This window comes from Homo sapiens, chromosome 8 (assembly GCF_000001405.40).
Source record: "Homo sapiens chromosome 8, GRCh38.p14 Primary Assembly".
Lineage (NCBI taxonomy): Eukaryota > Metazoa > Chordata > Mammalia > Primates > Hominidae > Homo > Homo sapiens.
In genome coordinates, this window is record NC_000008.11 from 29,760,383 (window position 1) to 29,786,753 (window position 26,371).

The 26,371-nt window shown below is 43.4% G+C and overlaps 1 long non-coding RNA gene across 2 annotated transcripts in view, besides 1 other annotated feature; it reads left to right on the forward strand.

Annotated features, from left to right (window-relative positions):
• LINC02099 (long intergenic non-protein coding RNA 2099) overlaps nt 1-26,371 on the forward strand; it is a 50,184-nt gene that overhangs the window by 12,074 nt on the left and 11,739 nt on the right. The window lies entirely within an intron of this gene.
• Nucleotides 9,660-10,859: an enhancer, noted in NCBI's record as "MED14-independent group 3 enhancer chr8:29627558-29628757 (GRCh37/hg19 assembly coordinates)". NCBI's record gives its function as "activates an origin of replication core promoter dependent on BRD2, BRD4, P300/CBP and CDK7 cofactors, and independent of MED14, by STARR-seq in HCT116 cells {active_cell/tissue: HCT116}" and the evidence as "EXISTENCE:reporter gene assay evidence [ECO:0000049][PMID:35650434]".

Sequence of the window (26,371 nt, forward strand, 5' to 3'; positions counted from 1 at the left end):
TTAGGAGTTTCTAAAAGAATATGCCAAGCCATTTACTGTAATCTGTGCTGCTCTCCTAACAGCTGCTAGAACCAGGTAACCTCCCAACCTTGGGCTTCCTCACTACCCAGAACCATCTTTTCATTGAGTGGCAGGGACTAATTACAGAGATAAGAGGCAGCATGCCATTCTAAGTCACTAAAAGAGGAAGACTGTGTCTACACCGATTTGTAGCGATGTCAATACTATAAAAGGATCCATCTGATGAGAGCCAACCCCATCTCTCCCAGCACATACCTGGGGGCCCACACATGTCCTGGAGGCAGCATGGTGGCCTGCAGAGACCTTGGGCTTAGTAGTTTAACAGACCCAGCTCTGTGACTGAAGTAAAGTAGGCACTGTAACATCTATCTCAGAGGGCTGCTGTATACATGAGATAACATTTACACTGCCTACCACATAGTAAGCACTCCATTTTCCCTCCAGAGTGGGGACAGATGTCTAAGATCCTAGAGACCCACAGTATATTCCTATTTTTTTAAAATAATTTCTCTTTAGGAAACATAGGCTTTGAACCTGGGAAAATTTAGTTTTCTGGCCGTCTGAACTGCTCCCAAATTTAACTGAAACATCTTTTGTCTCCTGGGGTGTAATAATAGGAAGCAAATGAACTGATTGCCTTGTACGTGTTTGGTTGCTGGTATTATTTTATGCATTTTCATACGCATTATTTTATTTAGACTCATGGGTCCCAGAAATCCATATGGATTTTCCTCAACTATGCATTTTTCTTTCCTCGTTGAAATCAGATTTCATTCTATGTTAATCTTGGGGGAAGAATTGTTGATGCATTTATTCACTTACTTGCTCTAAAGATGCTCATTAATCAACAATGGCTAAAGTGCACCATATATTTATAGAATAATATACAATTAAAGGTTGTGCAGCCACCACATAATATCCACTTACAATGTGCCATGCACATGCACATATACGGGACCAGTTAGGTCCCACCACAAACCTGCAAACTAGTTCTTACTCTGCCTCCACCAATACACACATTTTACAGCTGACTTTCCCCCTGTCACCCAGATAGTTCTTTCATAGCCTCTCCTTTGGAAGCAGGTGCATGCATTTGTGTTTGTACTGTCTTTGAAATGTAGGTTTTTCTGCTTATGTAAGCTGATGCCAGAACACACAGCTTCAAGCAAAATACCACTGTGGTTCTTCTCAACAAGGCCAAGGTGAATTAAACAGCATTCAGTTTGCTCAGACAGAAGCAAAAAAGATTAGAACAGGATTTTTGTATGCAGAGGGGAAAATGTGCAACTTCAATAATGAACCCCAATGAGCAAATTTTGGCCGACGATTAAATTCCCATTCAAAATAACATATTTCCCATGATAATAGAAAAGCATCTCCTCTTTGGTTTCCTGCAGAGCAAACCAGCTATGCGATGAGAATATTCGAGTTCCTTGAAAATATCAATGGCAACTCTGAAATTAACAAAGTCAACTTCAAAATATTCACTTGCCTGAAAAGGTTGATGTCAGATAGGTATTTTATTATTTATTTATTTAGATATGGAAACATAATTATGTTGCCTAGGATGGATTCAAGCTCCTGGGCTCAAGCAATCCTTCAGCCTCAGCCACTTGAGTAGCTGGGATTATATGAATGCACCGTTGTGCCCAGCAAGATAGACATTTTACCTGTACCTCTCATCGACATGGATGGAACAGGTGCAGGCATATTTATTCAGGAAACAAATACAGGCTATAGAACTAAAAAGAAATCCTGAGGCCTCTAAATGGATGATGAGTGACTGTCTGCTCCATGGATGGCCAAGAATGTTGAAAATTTGAGACCCAGAAGGTAGTACCTCAGGACTTGTCTGGAACATTTGACTCTTCAGTCATAACAAGGTACAGAGGCTAATAGCCAAGACAGGGCACTGGGTACACCACCATGCAAGGCCCAGTACTGGGAAATGGGCCCAACTGACCATGAAGATCCAACAAGGCATGGCTACCAAGGGGCAGATAAAACTTAGCCACAGCTCACAAGACAGGGATGCCCTCTCTCACCAATCCTATTCAACATAGTGCTGGAAGTTCTGGCCAGGGCAATTAGGCAGGAGAAGGAAATAAAGGGTATTCAATTAGGAAAGGAGGAAGTCAAATTGTCCCTGTTTGCAGATGACATGATTGTATATCTAGAAAACCCCATTGTCTCAGCCCAAAATCTCCTTAAGCTGATAAGCAACTTCAGCAAAGTCTCAGGATACAAAATCAATGTACAAAAATCACAAGCATTCTTATACACCAACAACAGACAAACAGAGAGCCAAATCATGAGTGAACTCCCATTCACAACTGCTTCAAAGAGAATAAAATACCTAGGAATCCAACTTACAAGGGACATGAAGGACCTCTTCAAGGAGAACTACAAACCACTGCTCAATGAAATAAAAGAGGATACAAACAAATGGAAGAACATTCCATGCTCATGGGTAGGAAGAATCAATATTGTGAAAATGGCCATACTGCCCAAGGTAATTTATAGATTCAATGCCATCCCCATCAAGCTACCAATGACTTTCTTCACAGAATTGGAAAAAACTACTTTAAAGTTCATATGGAACCAAAAAAGAGCCCACATCGCCAAGTCAATCCTAAGCCAAAAGAACAAAGCTGGAGGCATCACACTACCTGACTTCAAACTATACTACAAGGCTACAGTAACCAAAACAGCATGGTACTGGTACCAAAACAGAGATGTAGATCAATGGAACAGAACAGAGCCCTCAGAAATAATGCCACATATCTACAACTATGTAATCTTTGACAAAGCTGAGAAAAATAAGCAACGGGGAAAGGATTCCCTATTTAATAAATGGTGCTGGGAAAACTGGCTAGCTATATGTAGAAAGCTGAAACTGGATCCCTTCCTTACACCTTATACAAAAATTAATTCAAGATGGATTAAAGACTTAAACGTTAGACCTAAAACCATAAAAACCCTAGAAGAAAACCTAGGCATTAGCATTCAGCACATAGACACGGGCAAGGACTTCATGTCTAAAACACCAAAAGCAATGGCAGCAAAAGACAAAATTGACAAATGGGATCTAATTAAACTAAAGAGCTTCCGCACAGCAAAAGAAACTACCATCAGAGTGAACAGGCAACCTACAAAATGGGAGAAAATTTTTGCAACCTACTCATCTGACAAAGGGCTAATATCCAGAATCTACAATGAACTCAAACAAATTTACAAGAAAAAAACAAGCAACCCCACCAAAAAGTGGGCAAAGGATAGGAACAGACACTTCTCAAAAGAAGACATTTATGCAGCTGAAAGACACATGAAAAAATGCTCATCATCACTGGCCATCAGAGAAATGCAAATCAAAACCACAATGAGATACCATCTCACACCAGTTAGAATAGCAATCATTAAAGTCAGGAAACAACAGGTGCTAGAGAGGATGCGGAGAAATAGGAACACTTCTACACTGTTGGCAGGACTGTAAACTAGTTCAACCATTGTGGAAGTCAGTGTGGCAATTCCTCAGGGATCTAGAACTAGAAATACCATTTGACCCAGCCATCCCATTACTGGGTATATACCCAAAGGATTATAAATCATGCTGCTATAAAGACACATGCACACGTATGTTTATTGCGGCATTATTCACAATAGCAAAGACTTGGAACCAACCCAAATGTCCAACAATGATAGACTGGATTAAGAAAATGTGGCACATATACACCATGGAATACTATGCAGCCATAAAAAATGATGAGTTCATGTCCTTTGTAGGGACATGGATGAAATTGGAAATCATCATTCTCCGTAAACTATCACAAGGACAAAAAACCAAACACCACATGTTCTCACTCATAGATGGGAGCTGAACAATGAGAACACATGGACACAGGAAGGGGAACATCACACTCTGGGGACTGTTGTGGGGTGGGGGGGAGGGGGGAGGGTTAGCACTAGGAGGTATACCTAATGCTAAATGACGAGTTAATGGGTGCAGCACACCAGCATGGCACATGTATACATATGTAACTAACCTGCACGTTGTGCACATGTACCCTGAAACTTAAAGTATTAAAAAAAAAAAAAAAAACTTAGCCACAGCTCAAAAGAACTCCCAGAACCAAGTGTTTCCAGAGGAAATCGTGAGTTTTATTAAGCAAAGCCAATAGATGGGCAATTGAGGTAGTAACATTTTCATAACTCCATCGCACATGGGGTGCTCCAACCCCACAAAAACTAGACATGTTTAGTTTGAACACTATTCTGTGGACCATCAAAGCCATCTCAAGTATTTTAGAGCATTCCTGGAAGGGTCATGCTCTCAGATAACCACTGCCTAGGGTCCTTACCTCCAGGGCATACTATTTTTTTATTGGCCTTCCAGATTTGTGTCCCATCCTTCCCCACCCTGGTGCATGTCCTAGGTGGTTAACAGGCACAAGCCCGCTTGCCTTTTGGCATCCCTTTGGGTTTAACCAATGAGAGGGACTAGCAGGAGATCAGAGAGGGAGAGAGGATGAGGTCAAGTCAGCCATCCTCCTTCCACCCCTAGGAGCCCTCTCTCAATGGCTGCCAGCTGACAGCTCCAGCAACAACCTTCTGGTTTTAGGAACTGTTCCCTCCCCTTTCCCCTTCACACCCACTGGGGAAACAACTCCCCTTTGCTGGCTCCAAGTACTTTGCCTTCCTGCATTTGTTCCCCCTAACTCTGTCCACTCCATGAAAATATTCCCTTTGTTACACTTTCTTCCATTTCCTAGTTCCAGTGGGTCATCTGAGAGGAAGCCTCTCTGTTTTCTCCTAAAGAATACAAGCAGTGTTGTCTCCTTTGTGTAACTCAGTCCTTTCTTGATTTTTGTTTTAAAAAAATGCACTCACACAAGGCAGTTACCCATGTAATAAATGTTGTGGACTTGAGAAGGGACCTCACACATTGCACAGAAAGAACACAAAACCACCTGCCTGTGGGGCTCCTGATCCACATATACCTCTTCTTGGCAGGGGCTCCTTTCTTCTCCCTCCCCCTGCACCTGTTCCCTGTACAGACCGGTTTGCCTACTTTATTTCAAGTGTCTTGAGATACTGGTGACATTTTCGTCTCCCTCTGTCACCTTCTGCCTTCTGCTTCAAGTGATTTATCAAGGAATTTTCCTCAACAAAGACATTTCTCTCCCTAAGAGAAAACCCAGTACCAACTCTTAAAATAATAACACCCTTAGCAGTGTGGAAACATAGACACAATACTTCTTAGCAGGTTGACTCACAGGTGACCTAGACCGGCCCAGGGGCAGGGCTTCAGGCCCCAGGGAGGAGCGCTGAGAGGAGCTCTTCACTTAGGTCTCAGACCAAAGCAGAAACCAAATCACAGGCTTTGGTTTGAAAACCAAGGCACAAGAAAGGGCCAGTTTGAGGAAAGTATTGCTGAGGGGGAGTGGAAGGTGCAACTGTCAAGCCAGCCTTCAACATCAGAGCTTTGTTCAGGTCAGATAAACCTAGGGGAATTTGGCACTCGAGACAGCCCCTGCTCCAGGAGTTGAAGGCAAGAGAGGGCTGAGAACTTGAGCCTGACAATGGGCCACCCATTGTGGGAGCTGGAGAAGCCAAGATGGAAAAAGTAAACTTAGGGCTAACCCACAGTACTCTTCCATTAATACATGAAATTGTTTATGTTCCTATTATCAAAGAAATGAAACTATATAATCCAAGACTAAAGTAAAAGTCAATCATGACCAAAATATCTTTAACACAAACAGGCAGGGAGTGTTGAAAAATAAAAAAGCTTTGATATTAACAAACTACTACAAATTTCCTAAGTTTTCCATTGTAACATTGCCATTAAATACAAAAGAAACAAAAGAGAGGTAAATGCATTTATTGCTTTGAAAACCGTAATTGAAGGAAAACTTCCTGTGGATGTTAACAATATGGAGAATGACAAAATAAATATTTGTGTAGTACCTTACTTTTCTAAAATTCTTTCAAATATATGACTTTATTTCAAATATATTACGAGGCAAAATCAAGGACTGGCCAGGTTGTGTAACTCACTTAAAGCACAGAAATAAAAATTGGTGTTGTGAAAATAAACGTCCCAGTCTCTGACACCAGAGCTATGATTTGAACACTGCATCACACGCTCCCCTGTCTGGGAGTAAAAGCCTGAGCTCTCGTTGAAGTTTATTTTGTCAGTTAGGAGAGAACTAAGGTGGAACTGCCCCCAAATCCCCACTTCCTACCATCCAATCCTCCTCAGCCTTTCTCAGTAGAACCATCCTCAATGATGGGGGAGACTCACTCCAAATGATAAGGGATTAAAATTGAAAATATATCACACATGATTAACCTACTGGCTGATCACTTATCAAACTTGCCATAAGGGGCAAAAAGACTTATATAAATGGTGTAATTATTTGCTAGCAACTATCAGCCTTCAAAACTAACTAAACCAAATGAATTGTTGCAGTCATACATCTAGGTAGTGTCCTACTCTACTCAGCCTTTCCAAATTTAAATTAAACCAGTGAGAGATTCTTGGTTGACCACAGGGAATAAATATGCATTTATTAATTTCTAACTTGATCACAGACAATTAAAGAAAATAACATTATGCAATATAAAAACAATCTTTTACATTGGTCTGCTCTCTGTACATAATGGCTGGCAAATATTCAGATAATGAACATGCTTAGGTTGTCATAATTTTTATTTCTCTATCATTAATAAACTCCATATTAATTAATGGCAAACAAGCAAAGATATTTGAGTAAGTGAACAGCAAAGTAGCAGAATGACGTGGATATTTTGTCTGTGCACAAATAAAAAGGAATGAAGAGCTGAGACTCAATATAATACCTCTTTTGAGCTATATTCCTTTATTACAACATTTTGCCTGAACCAGGCCTGAGCTTCAGCTTGGTAGGGAGTTGGTGATTCATAGCTTGTAACCCACAGGGGCGTTGGTATAAGCAGCTTAGAATATGCTGAGAAGTGATTAGACAGTTGTTTGGGGGAGCAGAGTGGACACTTGGGAGAAGAAGCCTGAGAACCCAAATGCTTTCTTTTAGGATTCAAAATTACTAAGGCTGTTAGACATAGTGGGGTAACTGTCGGCAAGGTAGAAATTAGGGAAAGGCTGTGTAAAGTTGCTTAGATGGTGTGCTGGTTGGAATTTTGGAGATTCACTCCTCACTGCCTCTCGGGTGAAATTTCGTAAGATGCTTCCCCTTGCCATTGCTCTTGGGCTTGGCCATGTGATTTGCAGTGTTGATGCAATGTTAGCAAAAGCTGGAACGTGTTCTCCCACCTGCACTTCTGCATGAGAAGACTGTGCTCCAGGTGGTTTGCCAACTCCAAAGGGATGAGAGACATGTGGAGCAGACCTAAAAGCAACCTGCACCCAGGCCCCGCTGAGCCACACCTAGATCAATCAAACCACAGTTGGCTTGTAGACTTATGAGCAATAAATAAACATCAGGATTATATGTCACCAAGATTTTCTGGTTGTTGACTACACATCAATGTGTTTCTGAAAAATAAATAATTCACCATATGGAGAAACAGACAGTACAATAAGGGCCAAGCATTAAGAGGGAATGGTGGTTCCAGGATTTAAGGCCCCCTCAGCACCTGATTCTGTCCCCAGTGGTGATCCATCATGGAAACAGACTTGCACCCTAAGGAAATGGCTGAGTGAGTGAAAGGAAAGAAGAACCACAACCCTAAAGAGTTGTAACGCTGCAAATCCACACCCTCATGAGGCTCCCCTTGACCGAGCATTACACAGGACATTATATATCTGCAGGCAGCACTGAGACCAGTCAGGATGGCTGCCAGAGGGAGAGAGCAAAACAAGCCATATCGCCTCCAGGAGCAGGACAGCAGCACCTTCAAAGGTGAAACAGAGTTCTGGCACCAACCAAGAAATGAGAATAATTAGAACTAATCTTTTGACATGGCACACATCCCAAAAATTGTAGAATATGCCATTGGAGGAAGTTTGAAGGATGGGGTGGAGTAAGATGTGTCTCCTGCTAATCTGTGAGGTCTAGACCTCTCATTGTTTTGCTTTGAGATGCTACTTTGGAATGACATTGTTTATGCTCCAAGTTGGTGGTATAGGGCTTAACAGTAATCTTGCTCCAAAGGGATAGACAGCCTGAGCATTTATGGAAGCCGTGATAGACCACACACCCATACCACATCACCAACTCTGGGCTCTTCCCCTTCCCCTCCTGGAATCCCCATCCTAGAATCCTCTCACCTGCAGATGCTCCATCACTACTTCTTTCTCTTTCTATTGTGGAAGGACTATTTAAGAGTTCATATACTCAACACATTGACTCTGAGACCCTGTATATATACATAGTCCTCAAACACTGGGAGACAGGGTTTCCTTTTAAAAATCCACTTCACTGTGATTTGGAGCTTTGGGTTTTAGCTAATCACTAGAAATCTTGTTTCAATGAAGTAGCTCTACTCTGCATGTTGTCACCATGGAGAACAGGGCTGCTTGCAAATTTTCCCTTAAATATTATGCCCGATTTTTGAAGGAACACATTTCTTGAAAAGTGAAAATACATTTTTCACAAAGAATGTGCTACTCCAAATTTGCTGAAATGATTTGAATTTTATTCATTTCCTTTGGCAACTACCAGTGTGAAAATAACTTTCAGTGTCATCAATAATATATGGACTATTGGACACAACATGGTATGCATATTGCAAGGAATAATACTCATAGAACCAACAGAATGTGTGTGTGCATGTGTCTATGTGTGTGTATGTATATATATATATATATATACATACACACACACACACGTAGAGAGAGAGAGAGAGAGAGAGAGAGGGATTTAAGGAATTGGCTCACATAGTTATACGGGCTGGCAAGTCCAAAGTCTACAGAGCAAACAGCCAGGCTGAAGACCCAGGAAAGAGTTGATGTTGCAGCTCAAGTCTGAAGGCAGACTGGATCAGAATTTCTTCATCCTAGGGGTACCTCAGTCTTTTACTTCTTAAAATCTTCAATTGACTGGATGAGGCCCACTCATGTAATGAAAAATAATCTGCTTTCTCAAAGTCTGCTGATTCAAAAGTTCATCATGTCTAAAAAGTACCTTTACAGCAATATGTAGACTAGTGTTTAACCAAAAGCTTGAAGCCATGGTCTAGCCAAGTTGGCACATAAAATTCACCATCACAGAAGCAAATAAATTTTTTAAATAGTAAAATTGACAAAAGCTGCAAAATTGGTGTAAAATATAAGATATATTGTAACCAATACATTTCCTATACAATGTACATATTTTGTGGCTGAAATTTTTTTAAATAAAAAGCATTCAGTTTTTGGTTGAAATAATCTGACAACCATAAAAAATGTTGTGTTCCCTACGAAAGTGGATGTACATATATTTTCACATACACAAGTTTGTTTACAACAATCAATCCATCAATCTCCCACACTACAAAATCTTGACTTAAAGAAGTCAAGGCAATGCAAAAATAAGACATACACTTTGATAATATCAGGAAAAACACTTCTTACAGGAACACTAAATCCTTGGGGAAACAACCAAGCCTTTTATTGGATATTCCTGGGACAGAAATGGTTCTAACCTGATTCAATATACTTTTAAATTTGCAGGGGGTGAAAATTATTACTTTATCAAAGGGTAAAAAATGGTACATTGATTAAAGAAGGGGCTATTAGAAACTCTGGCAGGCAAAGGACAACTTTTAATTTAGGCACAACCTAAAATTTCTCCCTCACTTCCAGGAGTTATTCTGCCCAGGTTCTGGAATCTGGCCAGATGTGATGCAGAATCCCCTCCCCACTACTCACCTGCTCTGTGACCTTGAGCAGTGATTTAGCATTTTCTTCATCTCATTTTCCTCTTCAGCAAAATGGAGACCATAATGCCTACTTCACAGGGTTTGTGAAGAATTAAATGATCTACTTTATGGAAATGACTAACGGTTCCAGATACATAATGAGTATTTGATAAATGCTAGCTATCATTGGATTCATTTTGTTCTCATAAGATATTAATCATTTGGACACATTGACAAGCAGGAGAGGAAAATCATGTTCATTTACCCACCACTCTGATAGTGCAAAATCAAATAACACTGATCCTGTTCACTGGAGATGAGTCATATAGCCAGAATCTGTTAGCAAGTGGTAATGCCTTCTCTGGAACTTTGCCTGCATTTGGGACATGTTGGGACATGCCAGCATTATGCAAGCAACAGTACCTTGCTGATGTCTGTGTGGCTTTCCTAATCATTTTGGTATGGTTAAGAGTAGAAAATAATCACATGCTTTTCTATCCTATTATCCTTTTACAAACAAAATTGAGATATTTAAACATGAGATCTTAAAAATGGTGGGATTAATAGTTTCACCAAATAATACATTGAAACAATACAAGTAGAATAAGGTTTAAAGAAATATGCACAGGCTGGACGCAGTGGCTCACGCCTGTAATCCCAGCACTTCGGGAGGTGGACGGGGTGGATCACGAGGTCAGGAGTTTGAGACCAGCCTGACCAACATGGTGAAACCTCGTCTCTACTAAAAATACAAAAAAAATTGCCGGGCGTGGTGGCACACGCCTATAATCCCAGCTACTCAGGAGGCTGAGGCAGGAGAATCGCTTGAACCCAGGAGGTGGAGGTTGCAGTAAGCCGAGATCGCGCCACAGCACTCCAGCCTGGTGACAGAGCAAAACTCCATCTCAGAAAGAAAGAAAGAAAGAAAGGAAGAAAGAAAGAAAGAAAGAAAGAAAGAAAGAAAGAAAGAAAGAAAGAAAGAAAGAAAGGAAGGAAGGAAGGAAGGAAGGGAGAAAAGAAAAGAAAAGAGAAAAGAAAAGAAAAGAAAAGAAATATGCACACAGGAACAATTGTATAGCTTTCTTATTGCTATGGCTTGAATGTTTGTCCCCTCTGAAACTCATGTTGAAATTTAATCCCAATTATAATAGTATTAAGAAGTAGGGCCTTTAAGAGGTGATTTGGTCATGAAGGCTCTTCCCTCATCAATGGATTAATCTATTAATTGACTAATGGATTAGTGGGTTAATTAATTAATGGGTTATCACAGGAGTGGGTTAGTTATCATGAGAGTGGGTCTCTAGTAAAAGCCAGTTTGGTGTGCTCAAGCTCCCCCACCATGTGATGCCCTGCAATGCTTCAGGGTTCTGCAGAGTCCCCACCAGCAGGAAGGCCCTCACCAGATGTGGCTCTTTGACCTTGACCTTGGACTTCAGCCTCCAGAACTGTAAAAAATAAATTTCTTTTCTTTAGAAATTACCTAGTCTATGGTAGTCTGTTATACAAACAGAAAATGACGAAGACACTTAACAACCCTTGCACTTAGTTAAACCTCTTTAACCTTAATTTTTCCCCAGACCTAATTAGAATGCCCTTTCTAACTCACCCGAATACTTCTGGTATCCAAGGCTTCCAAGGATGACTCTGGGATTTCAGGCCAGCTGTCCCCACCTCTTGAAAATGTGGCTCATGTACGCTTTGATGGCTCTATGTCCTATCAGTTGATAGAGCTAATTAAAAGAGAGTCTTATTCTGTTTAACCTTCTGGGTCTGTATCCCTCTTCATCACATAATAGAAGCAGAGATAATAAAGATAAAGCTATACAACAACATAACCCTAAATTTGGTGATTATTTTTCTTTTACTCATAAAGGAAGCATTTTCCAAGTTCTAAAGGAGTCACGAAACCTCCCCAAACAAGAAGAATCTACTCATCGTCTCCTCTGTAGTTTTTCATTTCATATATTCTCAAGAGTTTTTCTGTAGTTTGACTGAGAACTTGGTCCACAGGGATAGGTCAGCCGTGGTTTTATTTCCACAGTCTAAAGAGCCACCGAGGCTGGTCAGCTACCACTGTCCCTTAAGCCCTGGGGCAAGGGACGAAATAGGAGGACACTTCACTTGCAGGCACCGAGTCAGTGAGTGTAAGCTCAGTCCTAGGGCACTGGCTGTGGGTCTGAGGAAGGAGCAATGAAGAGGGAGCAGAATCTAGTGTCTGCCACGTCCTCGTTGGGCCATCCACCCAGACGTTCTGCCACAAACCTCAGCAGAGGGAAGGGAGGAGGAGAGGAAGACTGGGGAAAGTGGACAGAAACAGCCCTGAGGAAAGAGCACTTCCTCCATGGTCATTAAGTTCTATGGCTTAGAGCTGGAGCGTAATCAGGGAAGGAGAGGGCATTTCTCCCTCCTCCGCTCAGCACTGCGTCTATTGAAGAAGCCACAAAGGCAGCTACAACCTTGCCAACAGAAAGCAACAGGAAGGCCGCTCCCAGCCAGGAGAGCCAGGGGAGTGGGACCAACCCACCTACAGCCCCATGGCAGAAAAAGGGGTTGCAGGAAGTGATGAAGAGCTGGTGACCCAAAGAAACCTCCAGGAGAACTGCCGCTGGGGCCCATGAGAGACAGAGAACACCACGGAGACATCTCCAAGGAGAAAGGAGGGATGCGTGTGCCTGAGGCTGGAATGCCAAGATTTTGCTGTTGGGAGCAAAGCCCGACACTGATGTTGAGTTTCCCCTCCTTTGACTCAGATTCCTTGCCTGCTACCCCAGGGCAATGGAACTTAAGAAAGCACTCGTAGACCAAGGAGACCATGACCAGCAAGAAGCCCAGACTTTGGGAGGATTTCAGGCGACAGAGTGTTGGGCAGAGCAAATGTTTCATCTGAACACTCCCCTGTTCCAGGTGACTGCCCCTTTAAGGAAAAGTTGAAGATGCTGAACTCTGGGGGCCTTGAGTATTGTGTGCAGGATCAACATATCCACAAAACCTGGGAAATTCCTGATAGGATTGTGGTGAGAAAAATAAACACCCACGCCATTGCCGGGCTGGGCACTAGGCTTCCTGTTTGAGATTTTTCCTTATCCCATTCCTTGTCCTGTTTCTTGCACCCCTATTTCCTGCTTCAGCAGACAGGGAAGTCCATTTCTTCAACTGAAAAGAGGAGAGACAGTTGACGAGACGTGAAGTCTGATTACTGTTACTGCAGGGTCCTCCGGCCAGCCCCCCACCACCCACCCCGCCGAATGCTCACAGAGGCCAATGTCAGGTGGTGCAAAGTGCACGAGAGCAGGCAGCTGGGACAGCTGTGCTCTGGGCACTCAGCCAGCCCCGTCCATCTGTTCCTCTGTTTGTCTTGCGAAATGGAAGAGAGGCTTCTGTGGGCCTCTCCACGGCGGGCAGCCGCAGGGCAGGTGGTCAGATACATGGGGCCAGCCATGTGGCCCCGGGAAGATGGGATCCGGGGCAGAGAGAGGGAGTGGGAGCCAGGGTCTCAGCACTAGAGGAGAGGGGCTCCCAGCTGAACCCAGCCCACCCATATCACAGTGGGTAGAGCTGCACCCTGGCTCACTCCTCACATCACCCCTGGGCCTTCAGGAGTTTCAGGGGGTGGAGTTCAGTGACTGTTGCTTGAGAGGAAGGAGAGTGAGTGGGCAGTCAAAAAGCCACAAAGAAGGTCCTGCAACATCCGTCTCTTAAATTCGTTTTCTGTGATCTCTGCTCACTTTTTATGCCACCATCTACCTATCTACACTTGATCTCTAAAGTTCCCTCCCCAACCAAACCGTGCACTATCTAGAAGGTTGAGAAATACCTTCTGGTCTGGCCTCATCCCCATGAAACTTCCCTTGGTCTCAGTGTTCAGGAAGCTGCCAGATGGTGGTGATGTTAACTGCACCCCCTGGTTTTTTGTTATATTGAAACTGAAGATCCCCTCCCTCCCCCAATGCCCACAGGTCCCACTCAGCTGCCTCACCCTGGTGCTAAGCCCAGACATTTGCTTTCTCTTGAGCTGTTTATTTTGCCAGCAGGCAGGGTCACCTGTCCAATTGCCCGCTAATGAACTGTACAGTCTTAACTGCCAACCCACTCCCGCCCGAGAGGAGAGGGAAAGGAATGTGAGTGGCTCAGGCTGCACTGTCAGGATTGGGTTAGCTGGGCAGGAGGAGGGGCCACGGTTACAGCTGGAAGCATAGACAAAAAATTTAAAAACCTTTCTTATCCATCGGTAATGCACAAAGCTCTGTGGTGGATGGTTTGGGCAGATTAGCCCCATTCAACAGATGAAGAAACTGAGCCTAGATTATCCCCATTTAACAGATGAAGAAACTGAGCCCAGAGAGTGTGATGAGGATGATGGCTCTCCGGGTTACACAGTTGCTGAGGAGGTTGAGCCACAGAACAGAGATTTGAACTCTGGTTCATCTGACACCAATGCCAGGGGCTCTGGAAGCTGCTTATTCGTTCGCAGGATGCCCCTGAGGTGGGGGCCATGTGCACAGGTGTTCCAGTATCTTGGCAGAGATTTTTGCTCTCCTGGCATTGGGACTGTGTGGGATCAGTGCCCGAGGGCCCTGGGATTAGCTTGGCATAAAGGGAACTTGAAGAAACCATTCCTAAGTCAGATCAGAGGGCTGGGGCCAGAGCTGTGGGCAGGAAGCAAGTGAAAATGAGAGCAGAGGTGAGTCCCTTCCAATGGGAGAAGAAACATGACTTCATCTTCCACATTCTATGTCCTTCCAACCACCAGGACCTACTGACGCCGCAAGTATACAGCTGACTATGAAACTGAAACTTATTCACTATTTCTGAGCCACTTATAATGAAACGTCCTGTGCACCAAAAACACAATTCTGCAAATTCATTAGTTTCTATCATTAAAAATAGACATGTGTTGACTTCAACAATAAGCTGTGCTCATCAATGCTGTCATCTTCATTCAGGGGATACATGGCACGATCATCAACCTAAGAATGATTAAAAAATTAGAAGCACATGTTGAAATGAGGTGAACAGGAGAGCAGGGTCCAGAGTGAACAAAAAGGACAACAGAACCTGAGGCAGCCAGATGGCACTGGCAGAGACACTCAAGATGGGAAAGTCAAAGGGGAAGGAAAATGAGGGGCCAGAGGGGTAGACTTTTATGAAGTTTCACAGGAGAGAGAGAAAAAGAGTGCATGAATGTAAAGAAGAATTTCCTGCCACACTACATGGGAAGAAATGCTGCTCTTGGACTTTCACTAACCTTTAATGGGCCTCTTTGGAAAAAGGGGAAGATGGGTTGTTGGGTGCACAGATGTGAAGGATGACTCAGGTGGGGCTGTCTAGGGGGCAGTTAGAATGTCAGCTAAGGAAACAGAGACTCTACTGTTAAGACTGAGGATACATGCAGAAATTGGAAAGAGAACACAAAACTCCATATGGCCCTCTGTATGTTCTGCCATCATGTGTCCCTGATCAGAGTGCATGTGCAGGAAGAACCCGTAGAGTACTGCTGCCGCCATCACGGGTCATTCATCCCCATTCCCAGCCAGCCCAGTTGTGTCCTGAACATGTAGGTGGCCTGTGGGCAAGCCAGGGTCTCAGCCTCCCTCTGCTCCCTTCCTTTGTCCTCCAGCCCCAGGGAATGTGCCAGCCACTTCCTCTACAAACCCCTGGAACCCACTCACTCCCAATGGAGGACATCAACTCACCCATGAGGGATCCACCCCCATGATCCAAACATCTCCCATTAGGTCCCACCTTCCAACACAGCCACACTAGGGATCAAACGCAACATGAGATTTGGTGGGGGAAACAAACCATATCCCAACCAAAGCAGGCACCTTTCGTAGAACACTTTTCTAATCTCTTCTGTCACTACTCACTCAGCCCCCAAATTCTTGTTAATTCTTTTTGTGCCTAGAGAGGGTGATGAGGGTGTTGGCTGTCTGGTTTACACAGCTGGTGAGGAGGATGACCCACAGAACAGAGATTTGAACCCTGGTTCATCTGGCACCAATGCCAAGGGCTCTGGAAACTGCCTAATCATTTGCAGGCCGCCCCTGAGGTGGGAGCCACGTGCACAGGTGTTCCGGCACCTTAGCAGAGATTTTTACTAAGTAGTCAGGGGTATGTGCAGCCCAGGAGTTCATCTACATCTTTCTAGGATCCCTTCCTTGAGCTCCCTCTTCTCTGGCATCTCCCTAACACTTTGCAGCTTGTAGGTGGTCCCCTTCCGGGTACACAGGCTAGAAATACAGGGCTTTAATTTCTCTGTTCTGTTGTGCTCTTCCTGCAACTACATCTGCTACCCATTCTGCAGTACTTGGAGTTCTTCCCCAATCTGTCTGTTATTGTTTTACTTTTCTGTGTCTGCCGGTAGCTGCTCCCTGCATTTTCTCCAGGGATTTTCACTGCATTCAGTGGGAGAGACAAAGTGGTATGTGCTTCATGCATTTTGACCAGAACCAGAACCCACCGAGCGTTTTTAAACAGTTAAAAGGCATGTAGCTCTCTATTCCAGAAGGCTCTCTTTGGCTGGAGCAGGGAGAATGGGTTGAGAACGATGTTAGAGGCACAGAATATAGCAACCTAAGAAGCAGATGCCACAGGCTGGTTTTAAGGCAATGGCAGTCAAAGGGGAAAGGAGAGAGTCCCAGAGCTCCTCAGAGGTGAATTCTGCAGGATATGATGGCCAATTCGATGTGGAGGTGGAGGCATATGAAGTCTCCAGAATAATTCCCTAAGATGGAAACACGAAGATGAAAAATTTGCTCCATGAATGTCAGCCCTTGAGCAAATTAGCAGGCAAATATTCCTCCCCTAGACCAGAATGAGCAAATTTAAAATCTCTTTCAATTTTCCTTCTCTACACTACTGGATCATTTGCCTTTGTGTTATCAGCCATGCTAAGATATTCTCCATTCTAACAAGATGTATTTGAGCCCATTTGAAGCACCAAAAAGTTTACTATTGATCTCTGTGTCATTTTTCATAGGGCAAATTCAAAATAGGTTTTATTCGCATAACAAACCACCACTTTAAATTGTGAAGTAGTCAGAAGTAGAGATTTTATAGTGTTATGTGTTGCACCATGGTTTTAATTTTTTATCTGTGTTTAAAAATTTTGCCATTTGATTCTATGATTTGTCAGCAAAATACCATTATATGATATTTCAAATATATAAAACATTTTTAAAGGAATTAAGAAAAACTGAGCTTGCCTGGGTTGTTTGTTAAAGCAGCTAATAGTGGTGCTGTAGTGATGCTAGTGTAGCAGTAGATAGCATATTTTCTTGATTTATTTTTGCAGAAGTAGATATGTCTTTCTATGTTTTACATAAACCCCACACACAAACATACCATGGGTATATGTCCATACTCACAGGCCCACACCTCACCTGCTAATACATTATTCAGTCTTTCAGTTCCTTACAAATGCTACATTCCTCTCTCCATTATCTTTCACATTTAAGTTAAACAATGATTAGTCATTTTGACTGTGGATAATTTGCCTCTTAGTACAAATATATTTTCCTCTGCCAAGTATGCTTACAAAGCGCGGGGCCCAGAACCCATGTGGCTTGATCACAATACCAAGATGGTGGTCTATTTCCTACCACTAGTACAATCTTCCTCACAGTGCAAGCCATGTGCTTAACTTTGGGTAGAAAAAAAAAAACAAAAACCTAAAACTGGAAAGAAATTCCCAAGATAAACAGTATAATGGACTGAGAATGAAAGCCCTTATATTTGAGACAGAATTGGATTATTTCTTAGAATGGCTTTTGAGAAAGGAATCTGTGGGCAGAAGAAGAAAGAGATTCCTTTTGTGTGGCTTGCTGCAAGTCGACAAAAGAAATGAAAGGAGAGGAAGGGCTTGGGAATCAGCTGCTAACAAGGTCCTTAATTTGGGCTAAATCTTCTAGGGCTTAGGAGTTTCAGATTGCGTTCTTGTTATATAAAGAGCCTTACTACAAGGCACCACTCTTTCGCTGTTTCCCGGGTGGGTAACTGTTTCTCTTTTCCTAGACACGGGACAACGCTGAGTCAGAATGCTTAGTTTGATCAATTAGAAAAGAAAGGTGAGTGGAGGTATGAGCTCCAGGTTTTTTGTTCATGCTTAAGCATAAGAAAGTCAGAACATTGCCACTGTGTTGTTTGACAAGCGATATCCTTTATCTACACAGAAGGACAGAGCTTTGGGTAAAAAATTCTACATTGCCCAGACACTGGGCAATGCTCCTAATTGTGTATGTTTCTGTTGTATTTCTCCAATTGAAATTTTTCTGAGAGCCCACTTTCTGGCATCAATGGCATTTTATTTCTGTGGCTCACTCAATAATAGGGACCTGATGCTGTCTGTGGGATCTGGCAATCCTCAGCTGGGCACATTCTTTGGTCAAAGTTTTGCAAAAGGTGTGGTCAGCACAGCTTGGGCTGGAGATTATGCCGGAAAAGGAGGCTGAGATAGGAAGTCAGCTGGATTTAAGTGCTTTGCAAAGCACATGCAAGGTTTTGTTAATACACTACAGTTGGTCAATTGAAAACATTTTCAAGTACCCCAGGGTGCTGGGTAAGAGCTAAGTATAGGAATAAATTCCACATGTGAAAGCACTCAAAATAGCACTAAACAACAGACTCAGAAATATTTGGAGTAGGCTCTGTCTGCAAATCTCACCAAAAGACAAGCAAAAAATATCTCCAGGAGACCTTGGATTCATTTTAAGACTCAGACAGCTTGGTCAATTGCTGCAATGAATGTGTTCATTGCAAGATATTTTGGATTTGCTTCATTTATTCGTGAATACTCAATGGCTAGTTCATCATTCAAATTGCTGCCAAAACACTTTTCCATGAAAAGACATTAGGCAGCTATGGAAAAGGTGGGTGATGAGGCTTAGGAGGAGGAATTCAGATTTCCTGTGTCAGATAACCAAGGACAAGGTGAGTTGGAAAGGGCCCTAAAACCTAGAGATGCACCTCAGGGCCAGAAGTGTGCAATGGTAGTTGCTTCTTGGCCTCTTGGCTAAGACCAAGTGCAGAAGTGTGCAATTCAGCCAGAGGGAGAACCAGAGCCACACAGGTGGGCCAGCCTCTGGTTAAGACAGGATCACTGTAGCAGTAGGAATAATAATGATGAATTAGCAAAGATTTATTGAGCACTTACTAAATTTAACTTGTTCACGGCCTCACTGCTGGGAAGTGGCAGAGCTGCAATTCAAACTCAAAGTCTCTGACCCATAGCCCTGGTTCTTGACGATTATTCCAAAAGCCAGGCCAGTCAGGATCCTGGGTTTCCTTGGCCACAGTGCAAACTCTTGGGAAAACTTCGCATTTAGAGTTCTGGTACCAAGTGGGCCATTTTGCATGGGTGTGCAGGTGTGTATTACACAGTTCCAGAGGCCACTGACTTCGTAGTTAATGTGGCTGCCACCCTCACCCTGAAACTGCACAGTAGACCAACTGATGACTATCACTATGGCCCCAACATTTCTATTCTTCAGCTTTTACAAGTGAGATACCTGCCCTGCTGAGAGGAAAATGACTCTGACCCAAGGCCACTAGCTGCAGAGAAAAGTCAGGAGTGGCCTGCAAAGGGTATCTCTTCCCTCTGGTGATCCATTACTGCCTAGGGTCCTGCAGTGTGGGATCCACTCATGGCTGATAAATAAATCAAACATGATACAGGAATTTGTGAAGAGATAGGTATAGGTAAGGAAGCTTGATTTTTTTGCTTTCGTTTTTTTTTTAAGTCTGATCTACCCCAGAGAAGCCAAAGAATGGAATTGCCATCCAAGTGGATAAGGGTCCTGAACTGTGGGCTTTCCCAGAAGCAAAAAAAAAGGGAAATGTTTGGAAGCAAGAGATGCTCTAGTGGCAACTGATTAGTGCTGTGGGAAGACTAGAAATGCTGTTGTTAGAAAAATTAAATCACTGCATGTTTGGATTTGCACCCCACAAAGGAACCCTAAGTGCTTCTCTATGCTGACGGGGCCTGGCTGTGAGCAGGGAGAATGGCTGTGTGTTTCTGTCCCAAGGATGTACACGAGGGCTGGAGAAAGATTTCTCTGCTGCTACGGGGCACCGAGAGAATTGCCTTCAGCTCCTCTCTGGAGTGGAGGAGCCACGCCAGGGACTAAAGCCTCTGACACTTGGCTTCTCCTGGCAGCTCGGTGGGCTAGGCAGACTATGTTGTCTGTCCTTGAGGAAGGCAATGACTATCTGGGCTCTTCAGAAACATGCAAAGAAGGCCTGGCCACTGGTCAGCTTTTCAAGTGGATTATCATTTCCCAAATGTCCTCACATCTGGTTTCCAGGCCCGAGGAAGGAGCTGTTGTAAGCAGCTGTTTCAGGCAGCAGCAGATCAGGAACAGAGTCTTCATTAGCCTCATGTCTGCCACTAGATTTTAGGATCACTTGCGTTAGTCCTTTTGATCTCGCAGAGTCTCAGTTTCCCCATCTGTAAAATGAAGGTGGGGAAGGTCCGACCAAATGTGTCTTTTCAATTTCAGCTCTAAATTCTACAGTCGATTTGAGAAGATTGCTGAATTGCCGAAAAACTCTTTTCATTATTATTTATTTTAGTGAAGCCAGGTTTCTAGAATAATGCCAAGCTAGCCATTGGAAGCTCAGGTGAAGTCAATAAACAGGCCACCCTCATCCATCTAAAGAGTCTGAGAAACAAAACAAAACAGAGGCAGATGGAAGGCCCAGAACAAAGCATGAGGTTTTAGATCTAAGAAACAGATAATTCTCTCTCGTCCTAAACCCCATTCCAAATTCCCATTTCAACTTGTACTTGACTTCTGAGTGTTCATGTGGACACAGCCCAGTGTAATGGAAAAGCACAGGAAAAGGAGTCCAAGAGCTCGTTATAGTTCTATCACTTAGTAGACAGGGTAGCCAATTTCCCTGTTCTTTTCAGAACCCCTGCTCTGTAGTCCCTGTGAGAGGGTGAGGGGTTTGGGAAGCAGAGGTGGAGAGGAAGCCCTGAACCAGGATGGGCCAGTCAGATCTACACTTCCCCAAAGCTGTCACTGGAACGTGGTCAGGGGTGCTCCAGCCTAGGGCCACCATTCATCTCTGCTGGGGCATCATCTGGGAGAGAACACGGGGAACAGATTTGGCTCATGAAGAGGTTGGGCTATTGAGAAAAACGAGATGTAAAGAGATGAGCAGAGAAACAAATACGAGAGACCATATGGAAAAGAGAGAGAAGGAGAATAAGAAACCTTAGTTTCCAAAGGTTTTAAGCTCCTGGTTCCATTCCTTTTGGCACTTCTTGCCCCGAGGTCTTGGGCTTACCTTGACCCTCACCTTGTTCAACTGGGTTTCTCTTACACACAACCAATCTCTGAGAACCCTTATCTCACCATGATTTTGTATAAGTGGCTTTATCTCTGGGTGCCTCCATTTCCTCTTCTGTAAAATGTAGCAGCCGGCATATGTATTTCTGTTTCTTTTCTAGCCCTCTGATTATATGAAAGACTTCTGCAAAGCAAAGTGGGATAAAGTCATAGCGACTCCCTTCCTTTCCCCCAGTTAACCAGATCCAGACCAACACCAAGCCTCATTGTTCCATGTAAACAGCCCCACTAGCTGTTTTCTTGGTAGAGGTCACTGTCCCTTTGAGAAACCAGGGATGCAGAATAGAAGTGTGGACCCAGATTCTCACGGAACAAGTACAACATGCCAGCACTCCATAGTGCCAAAGATGAGCCCGGGAGCTGGCCCACACCCACGCAGCTCCTGTCTACCTCTGCCATCCCTGTGGCCCATGCGTGTATTTATAACTCTAGTGTACCTGTTGGAAAATGAGGCCGAGGCTGCAACAGTGCTCTGGCTTCAGAGCTTTTTCTTAGACTCTGTCTTCAGCCCCCTTGAATAGGTAGAATGTTAGTGACTATGTACAATTTCAATTGGAGTTTCCATTGCACAGGGTCCTCAGACTGTCTACGTTGCATTTCACCAGTCCATTGTCTGCCACAATGGAATGCTGTATGGGTGGCCGGGCACTGTCTCTTTATAGCAGCTGAACTGCAAGGAAAAACAGAATATATTGCAGCTGTAAGGAATTAGATTAGACACACACACACACAGAAAAAGAAAAAGAAAGAAAGAAAAAAGAGAGAGAGAGAGAGAAAAAAAGTTCCCTAGGGTGGTAAGACAGTGGTGTATATTAAAAGGGACAATGTGTTAACGAAATCTCAAGATATTTTCAGAAAGAGCAGACAGCTTCCCCCGGGTATGGCTGGAAGTGCAGCCCTGCATTTCCAGGAATAGATGTGATGACATCTTGACATCTCAGTGTCCCTTCCCTGCCTAGACTGATGATGGCAGGGTCTCTGTCAGAGGATCCCTCTTCCCCCCTTGCACCAAATTTCCATCAATTTCATCATTACTGTCCACTCTCCTATAATTGCCTGAAACGGTCCGTACTTTAGGCAACTATACCTTTACTCTTTCCCGTTTAGTGCTCACCACCAACCTACTTCACCACCAATCCACGCCTCATGTAGGAGGGGAGACCTAACGGCAAGAATCTGGATATGATGAACAAGTGGGCAATCTCCTCCTGCAGCTGAGCTGGCTGCCTTGTGCATAACTGAGAATATATGGCCCTCTGTCCCTCATTCATGTTGTCCATATCACCCACCCTCCCTAAAGGGGCCCTTCATGGGACAGCACAAAAGGCTTCCAGAGACGCAATCCCTCTCGCATGACCCCAACTCCCTGCCGCCACCAACCCACAGGTACTGATTACCTGATCCAGCTGACCAGTAGAAAACTCAACCTCAGGGCTCTGAATCCCGGGGAAACTCAGCCCACGAGGCTCCACACTCAGGCTGGTCCTGGCCCCATTCATAAAACATCAGTGTATCCTATTGGTCTCTTGTTGGATGTCTGGATTTTTAAGAGCTTCTAGTGAGAGGAGAGGACATGGGACACAGTTATTTAGTAACCCTCATCCCCACCATGGGGTGCTTAACAGTCAGACCACTCAGCATCCCCAAAAGATACTGCATCATTTATTCAATACTTGTTCATCAAGGATTTATAGCTTCCAAAAGCCTCTTTTATCCACTCACTTTCTCTTTATTCCCACAGTCATTTCCCTCATTCAGGGAAAAGAAACAAAATGGCCCTAATATTTCTTAGTGTTCGGCCCTGTGTTTTGTGTGCTGCATGTATATTTTCTTGTAAGTTCCTGCTAGATTTCTGAAGCAACTTTCTTTTGTTTTTCTCTCTCACTCTGTCGCCCAGGCTAGAGTGCAGTGGTGTGATCTCAGCTCACTGCAACCTCCACCCCCTGGATTCAAGCGACTCTCCTGCCTCAGCCTCCCAAGTAGCTGGGATTACAGGCACCTGCCACCACAGCCAATTAACTGTTGTATTTTTAGTAGAGGCAGGGTTTCACCATATTGGCCAGGCTGGCCTCAAACTCCTCACCTCAAGTGATCTGCCCACCTCGGCCTCCCAAAGTGCTGGGATCACAGGTCTGAAACAACTTTCTAAATGTACTTCCAGCCTCCACGTGCAACCTTCTTCATCCATACCCCACACAGATGCCAGAGGATCCTTCTAACATATGCTTTTCTCTTGGAAATACTGACAGTTCCTTACTGTCTTCTGGATAAAACTGAAGAGATATAGCCCTCAGTGCTTGCTCTGGCCTCAGCATCTTCTCCAATTGCCCCCTACAAAGGTCCCATAAAGGAACTTTGTCACTCACTCTTACTCAGAATATATTTCCATGCACCATGGGCTTTGCCCACACTAGACCACTTGTTTAAATTGTCTCCACACCTGTCTCATTTGGCAAACTCTTCTCTGTTTATCAAGCTTAAATATCATCTCATCTTTCTATCCTTCTCAGGCCTTTGTCTCTTCTTATAACACTTTATATAAGCTTCGCTTATAGCACAGCTCACATTGCATTATAGATCTGTGATGTGTTACTCAGGGTAAACCAACTGCTATGTCAAACAACTCAAAAATTTTCATGGCTTGACACCACAAAGGTCTATTTCTTGCTCAGGCAGCAGTCTAATGGGAAAGTTCCTCCTGGAGGCTCACCACCAAGTGTTGACTCAGGGATCCAGGCTGATTCCATCTTATCACTCTGTTATATCTTAAGACCCTGGAGTCCTTTACTCCCAAACACATAAACAGCAAAAAAAGAATACGGAGGATAGAGCAGATTTTAAGGGTCCAGGCCTGGCCCAATCTCCAGCCATTGCTCTAAGACAACAAATCTTCACTCATATCCCCTGACTGTACTTCTCACAGGACTCTCAGTCTACCATACCACTGATTTGGGCCCTATAAATATCTTCAAGAGAACAAAAAACAAATAGCAATTATCTAGCCAACGATAACTTTATTTTCCAACAGACCTGCTCCTTCAAGAAAGGCCATAGTAAGGTTTTGGGTATCAGCAGGGCTTTTCACGTTAGGGAGCCATTGGTATGAGACAACTGACATGTGTCCACAGCTTCCATTTTCATCTGTTAATATTCAATTACTCACCATTGTGGCAGTCTGGGAAATTAAGTTAACAGAGAAATCTAAAGGGCTTATCATATTTACCATTAAACATATGGAATCAGTCACATTGTGAGAGCTTCTAAGACTCTAAGGGATTCCTGATCACCTCCTTCAACTCTGTGGCATATTTGTTGAAGGATAATCCTCTCTAGTGTACCTAGTGATCATTTAGAAAACAAACAAAAAACAGGTTTTTCTCCTCTTTCACATCAGCCTTAGGATTATAAAAACAATATAGGTCTTAAGGGTAAATAAATACGTTACTAGCCAATACATACATGGGAGATTTGATATTATCTCCTAAACCAAGATCACAAGAGAACATAGATAAGGACTTTCTATTGTTGACCAGATTTGGAAAAGGGGAATATCCCTTCTAATACAAACAAAAATAAACCAAAAATCTTCTTGAGGTGTGAGGGAGGACACATCTTTAACAGGAAAATAGTTTTTAAAATAATTGCCATTTGGCGCTTAGTGAATTTAAGGAATAATTTAAGCTTGGATTTCCAAAGCTCTTCTATCCCTCATGAGCCCGGGTTATAGTCCATAGAATTGATTAAGGAAACTGAGGCAGGGAAGGGTTAGGTGATTTAGCAGTGGTCATACTGCAAATCACAGGTTTTTCTGGGACCTGTTCTTGCACCCAGCCTGGGGCACATTTCATGAGCAGATGCACAAAGGAAGACCATAAGTACCACTTTAGTTCCATTTGCTTTCCTCCTGTTCATTCTTCATCTCACTCCCAATAGACTTCCCCTCACAGCTATCCACTGATGTAGCTAAGCCTCTTCAATGATCTTCACACCATTAAGTCCAATGTATCTTTTCTAGTCCTCACCTTACAGAATCTCTAAGCAGGATTTGACTTAGAAGACCACTGCTTTCTTCTTCAACACAATCTTTTTCCCTTGGTCACCATCACATCACACCTCATGGTTTCTACTCTCTGGCTGCGCCTTCTCTGTGTCCTTCACCTACTCATCCTCTCAGTTTAGGCCATCAAGACTTATAATACCAAAGACTCCACACTGGGCCCTCTTATCTTCTCTCTCTGTACTTTCTGTCCATCTTGTCCATGTTTATGGCTTCAATAGCCAGTCATTCATAAATCCCAAATTTATATCTCCAGCTAACACCATCTTCTGAGTTCCGGTCCTGTACTGTATCTCCATTTCTACTTACAGATGCCTCAAATTTACCTTGCAGTCTAAGCCCAAGCATTCTCTCCCTGCATTAGAGCCACTCCCCTTCCAATGTCTATCCCAATGAATGGCACTGCCGTCAATTCAGTAGTGCAATTTAAGAGACCTGGAGTCATTCTTGGTGCTTTCCTCTCCCTCCCTCTCCAGATTTTATGCATTACCGAATCCAGTCCACTTAACCTCTAAATACCTCTCAAATATATCCATTTCTCTTCTTCCCTATTCCCATATCACAAAGTCAAACCACCATTGTGTCCTGCGTAGGCTACTTCAACAAGCACTTAACAGATCTCCCTGCACCTGTTCTTGCCATCTTCCAGCCTATTATCCTGCAGTCAAAAAATATATATATTTTCAAAGGATTAATATGATAACTGCTCCCACCACATCTTCTCTGTGCCCCATCCAAGTCATTTAATGGTTTCTCAGTGCTCTTTGGAGAAAGATCAAATCCTTATCCTCCATAAGATATCCTGCGCCCTGCAGCTCCTACCCATCCTACATCCTCTATTCACGTCATGCTCCTACTGTTCTCTGAATTCCAACTGCACTGGTCTTCTTTCAACTCCTTGGCTATTCCAAGTTCCATCCAACTACAGGAAAGACTGAATTACAAATCCAGGGATCTCTCTTCTGTTAAATTCCCTCACAGCACCACATACTTCTTCATCATAAAACATATTAAAGCATTAATGTTACATGTATTTATATGTTTATCTGTTTGATGCCTATCTTTGCCACCAGACTATATGCTTCATGAAGATGGGACCATG